This window comes from Homo sapiens, chromosome 10 (genome assembly GCF_000001405.40).
Source record: "Homo sapiens chromosome 10, GRCh38.p14 Primary Assembly".
NCBI lineage: Eukaryota > Metazoa > Chordata > Mammalia > Primates > Hominidae > Homo > Homo sapiens.
In genome coordinates, this window is record NC_000010.11 from 131,549,070 (window position 1) to 131,555,373 (window position 6,304).

A 6,304-nucleotide genomic window follows, 5' to 3' on the forward strand; every position below is an offset into this window, starting at 1 on the left:
TCAATGAACTTGACCATGGCCCTGTTAAAGGAGAAGAAAGGAAGTAGGCAGCTATAGACCCAAGCTAGACCTGTTCTTCCCAGAACCCCTTTACAGAGTGAGAAGTGGCAAGAGTGGCATTTTCAGGTCCCCAATGGGAAGCTGTGGCCTCAAGTGTCGCTGTGGGGTGCCCAGCCAAGAACTGGCCACAAAGCCCCATCTGCCCCAGGACCTGCTGCACAGAAGGGGGACACAGGAAGCTTGAGTGCAGTGTGAGGATGGAGGGAACGGGGGTGGCCTGGAACACGCCCGCATTCATGGCCGTTCCGCCCTGCGCCACCAGCACGCAGCAATTACTATTGTGAAACCAAATAAAGGGACACCATTCCCAGGTGCCTCTCCATAACTTTCAGTTCAGAGATGGCCAAAAATGCAAACACCCACAACTTTCTCTCATATCTCCTGCACAAACAACTTACATTTTAAAGTCATCATTAATTAAATTTATCTTCTGTTGCTATAATAGATAAAGCAATTTATATGCAATTCCATTTCTATTCAATTGCATTTCACTTTCAGAAGTGTGTGTGTCATAAAATAGGGCTCATCTAAACATGCATGGCAAATATACATATTTTTGGTGCTGAAACAAAGGAAAATAGAAATTGTCAGCTGGAGGGTTATTCATGTAAGCACAGTAACCAGAGAAGTGGTATTGTGCTTATTTATGCATCAAACTTCCCCAAAAGCCTAATAAATCTTTTGCATCTTATAATTCATAAGCCAGAGAAAAGGAAAATGTGGAACTGAGACATGTGGCCAAAACTCACATTTGTGGAACTTTTTATCAAACATAAACAGAGCCTCATGAAGCAACTCTTGATCAATGCATCTCCCAGAAATGCCCACTGACATGCAGCTGCCTGACAGGACCTCATATTTTTGTTTGCTTGTTTGTTTGTAAATTTGTGTGTTTTGCTGAAGCCAACAAAACCACATGCTGGCAAACTTGAAAAAAGAAGAATGTGTTGGAAAGTACAGCAGCAAATGCAGGATGTTTCACTTAGCAATATCCAAAGCCCCTCTGGTGCGCCTTCCTGTACCACCAAGGGGAGGAAAGAAAGACTTTACTTTCCATCATGCTCCCTGAATTCAGCCAAACAAACCCCACACTCATAAAGAAGAGGTGGACAATGTCAGGTGCAGCAATGACCTTGAGCAGGAGAGTCCAAGTCAGACCTTCCAGCTGGGGCTTCAGCTCTTCAGGGACAAATGCATAGAAGCTTCCTTTTCTTAGTATCAGAGTCACAGGTGTCATTTTCAAGAGACAATGAGGGTTTCCACCAGATTAGATCCCTGGGTGTTCAGATGTCTCTCCTGGCTTTCTTGATCCCAAATGTGAATTATTCTTGAATGTTTATAAATGCTGTGTGCCAAGTATAACTGCTAACAGGTTGGTTGCAGGTAATACATCCACGTAAAAATGGAAGCTGGGATTTCATGGCCTGGTGCCTTAGCGTGAAAGGATAGGACGCAGGTGGGGACGGCGCAAAATGATGAAGCAGTTGCTGGAGTTATCTCCTAAACTTAGGATAAAGTGCCTTCTGAAGCCAAGGCACTGGAGACCAGGTGGCTATATTTATAGAGCATCAGGGTGGACACAAGGAATTCAAGGACTGTTGGGCAGGTGGGTGGCTTCTAATTATGGTGAAAAACTTAAAACTGAAACAAAATCAAAGCTGAAAATTCTTAGCTTAAGGCGTGATCTGGAATAAGAAGACGCTATGATACTGTTAAATCTCTCAGAGCTGGAACCAGATGCAGAGTCTGATTCCCAGCATTGTCGCTTTACAACAGAAGTTGGGAGTTTTATCCGTGGTCTCTGCCAATCTCTAAAATGAAAAGCAGGCCATCGATTGGGAAAGACAAGGGGACTGAAAATTTGAATAGGGATATTTGGGGGGATTAGGATGAAACCAGGGACTCCAAACTACAATGCTTTGAGTCTCCCATGCCGGAAGTAGCAGCACCTTCTCCCTTTCCCAGTTTGCCTCCTCCCTTGGAAACTTCAGCTGGCCTCACCAGAGACTGCTTCATTGCAGGAGGATGCCAATTCTCTTGCCCTATCACTGACAGACTCCATTTCCTTTGAACTTATTGTTAGAATCAGATTCTCTTTATGACCCAGGAAGCTAATTATAACATGAAACCCAAGAAAAGAAAACACTCGCTAAAATAATTGCAAGATTTACTAATTTGTATCAGAAAGAAAACTTGAAGATTACATACACAGGTATGGATTTGAGGATACTGGATGTAGGGCCCAAGGCCATTCATTCAGATAAAGTTTAATTTATAAAATCTGTGAACTTGGCAGAGATTCTGGATCTGATATGCTCACTTTATCAGCTTAGAATGGCTTTGATTGATTTCTCAGTTGGTCAGCTCTAAGCTAGACTCCGTGACAACATACACCAAATAAAGTTGAGATGCCAGAAATCCTGTGGAATGATCAGGAGAAGGAGCTCAAGGATTTGGTGAGCCAGGCCCATCAGGATATATCTGGGTTCATCAGACTCAACTCTTGCCGGACTTGGTGGAGAGGACTGATCAGCTTATGGCACCTCCAGAAAGCTGCTGTGACAGCTTAGAAGCCACAGAGCCCGCAGCTCTGGAGAAACATCTGGAAGAAGCAGTTGGTGTTCTAGCAGGAATCTCTCTGCTGTTACTGCCACCACCCCAGACTCCTGATCTGAGAACTAGATTCTAGACCCCCTCCTATAACTACTGCAGAAAGGCCAGCCTGTGGCCGGGAGATCCGGTTCCTAGGAGTCTGGCTGGCTGCTTGCTTCTGCCTTCAAGCACCGTGAGGGTATGTCTGGCTAGTAGAGTCTTGGCCTCATGTAGTGACTTCTAGGGTCTAGAAGACAGGAAGGTTCTCTCCACAGGAGATTAATTACATGCTAACAGAGCCAATGTGCATATTTTCCAAAGGATATGTTTTGAATCATCTGCTCTAAGCCCGTGAGCCCATCTTAGTAGAATAAGATCTGGGATGCATGCCTTCACTCATCTATCCAACAAATATTTGGGGGCGCATGTCCTGGAAACTTGAACACAAAGACAAAAGAGCCCTAGGCTCTGTGGGAAGCACACCCAGGCATGGAGACCTGAGGGGCCATGGGTGGCATGTGTGAGCCAAGCCCTGGAAAGGTGGAGTGGGGACCCTCTGCTGTCGGTGGGGGGAGGCATCTTTCCCAGGTCATTCCAGGGCATTCCAGGGAGTGAGAGCAGCAGATGAAAAAGCAAAGACACATATCCATGATAGTGGACTTGGTGAACTGGACGGTTTTTGCTGGTGTGGAGACATCAAAGCTCAACTTGCTGGGAAGGAGAATTTATCTAAAGGTGTCCCTCAAAGCTGCAAGATGAATTCTGCATCAGCTGCAGCTTTCCTCAGCTATTTCTTTAATCAAGAGGAAAATAAAATATCTTGCTTCAATTAATGAGATAAATAACTGGTACCACGTAGACATCAGGAACTGAGGCATGCTCTAGAGTGAAATCGATTCCTCTCCTGGAAGAAAGCACTTCTGCTTCCTGCACCCTCTTGACCTCTTCACTCAGAGCCAGGATGAATCCAGGCCAGGGACGAGCTCTCGAGCTGGATGGTGATGCAGCCTCCCCTGCCCCAGTGCACCTCGTGACCAGGATTAAAAAATAACACACAGAAACGCCTGTCATCTCCCAAGTCTAGTAACATCTTCAGAGCATAAAGAAACAATCTAGATTAGCATTCCTGTTTTACAATGGAGGGCATTTTATTAGAAAAAAGGGTGAGGAATATATCCCAGTCACACAACTAGTTAGCTGCATAGCCAGGATCAGATGCCAACTTCCCTGCCTCCGTGTCTCGTGCATTTTCAATACCTGCAGCACTGCGTCATGATCCAGGAAGCTGGTGGCCACCAAGCATATTTCCGTAGAATTATTTGGGACCCTAAATTCAAGCAAGAGAGAAGACTGTACAACATTCTCAAAAATAGCGATGTAACATGCTCAGACATTGGACTCTTAAATTTGTCCTTAATTACTATTTTGTGCCTTAAAATAAAGTAGGTATATCAAATTCTCTCTCACAAATCATATCAAATCAAGATCTCAGTAGCTGCCTTTTGGATTGTAAAGACAAGACCAAAGGATTCAGCTCCGGGGTGTTGTGCTCTAACCACAGGATGTGGGCCAAGTCCACAGGAAGCCCGGAGGGTGGAGGAATGAGCTCCCATCGCAGCTTCCCCACACTGTGCGCTGGTGGGGATTTGGGAAAGGCCATGTATTATTTCCCCTTCTTGAACTTTCATCAGCTTAATAAACCCATAAGGTGCTGTAAGCTCATGGGCTCTGAGAAGTCCAGAAACAGAGACACGTGAAAATGTGCACTGTCACCTGTCTTAACCTTTGAGACGATGGAGCCGTTCTTTAGGGTCAGCAGTGCCTATTCAGTAGTGATGATGACACACTACGAAGTGTTCAAAACTGAGAGGTTGGCCAGATGGTTAAACGCATGCCCTGAGACCTGGATCAAAAGAAATCCTTTGTAGCGAGATGGGCAGGGAGTGAGTGTGTGGACTCGGACTCTTGGGCCTCCCTATGGGTATTCTGAGACAGTAGGACTGTGTTTCTAACAATCACCCACACCGCCTGACACAGGGACCTGCTCTGCCCACTCCGAGAATCACAGCTCTGGGGATAGTCTCAGAAGGAAAAGGAACCTCTGAAGAGTGAACGCTGAAGTTACAGGGACACCAAGGGACCAGCGTGGGGACCACTCAGGCAATGCCAAAGTCAGAGACTGGACACGTCTGCAGGGAAACAAATGCCCCCCCACTTTAAACTCCAGGCTTGAATGACAAAATCTGGACACAAGAATTTGCTTTTCATCAGCTCTCTGCTGCCTATAAAAGTATACAATTATACAACCTTTCCAGGGGGCAATGTAGCAATATCTTAAGAAAAAACCTTCAAATGTGTACCCAGCAATTCCAGTTCTTGTCATTTACTGAAGGAAATTATCAGAGAAGTACGCAAAGATGTATGTGATGGAATCTCACTGCATGCTCTTTAAGACAGCACAGAGCTCAAACAACCAAAAGGTCTGACAACAGAACAGGGTTGAATTTATATAAACAAGTACTGCACAGCCATCGAAAGCAAGCGTCTTAATCAGTAATTTGCCTACTAGTGCAGTCTTCCCAGGAGTGAGTTTTTGTTTCGACCTTTCTGTCGCTTAGTAGGCAGGACCAAGGTTTGTATAAGTCCCTCATTTGGGTCAATTCCGAACCGAGGAAAATAGGCCCTCCTGCAATTCCGGTAGCACCTGCATCATCAGTGATTATTGACAGAAAATTGTGTCAACGTATACTTTCAGGTAAGAATGCAAGTTACAACCAGCATGGAAGGCATTAATAAGAGAAAAAAAAATCTGCATTAAAAAACCTTCAAGAGTTATTTTACAAAAAGCAGGGAACTTAGGAATACTGCAGATGGATTTAATTTTTTTCTTCATTAATTTCACCTCTTCAGATTGTTGCAGTAAGCGTATGTCCTTTAACAGCTTACGCAAAGAATAACTGACATTCGATAAATTAGCATGCATTTTAAATAGTAAAAATAGTAAAGCTATGACCTCATAATGGCTATAATGCTTTTATCTAAAAAAGATTTCATGTGTATCTGTTCACGTGTGTGAGTGCATTTACATATATGCAAGTGTATGTGTCTGTGTGTGTGCATGCATTCATGCGTGTGTGTGTGTGTGTGCGTGCACAAGTGTGCTTGCAGGTGTATGTGTGTGCACATACAAGTGTGCATGCAGGTGTGTATGTGCACATACAAGTGTGCTTGCAGGTGTGTGTGTGTGCACGCGTGCACACTCACAGAAGCATAAGACCAGTGGAAGCAGCTCCGAGGTACAGAAACCCAGGCTGGAAGCCCAGCAGCGCCCGACAGAGGCCACCGAGCACCGGGCACTGTGGGTCCTTTTCCCCCCGCATTGCTCAAACTGTTTCTTCATCTGTAAAATGGGCAACTGTGCATTCCTCATAAGGTTGATGTAAAGTCTTAATCAATTGAAGGACTGACATCTCACACTTGCGTGGGGTGGGAAAAGCTAAAAGAAGCTTTTAAAACTTCAAATGTAAGGATTATGTGCAATGACAAAGGGAGAAAAGCCTCTGACTCATTAAAACACAGTCCAGCATCACTCCCCAGGTGTGCGCTGCTTTCTTCCCCTCTAGCTCAGGGAGTAGCCGGCATGGGCCACGGG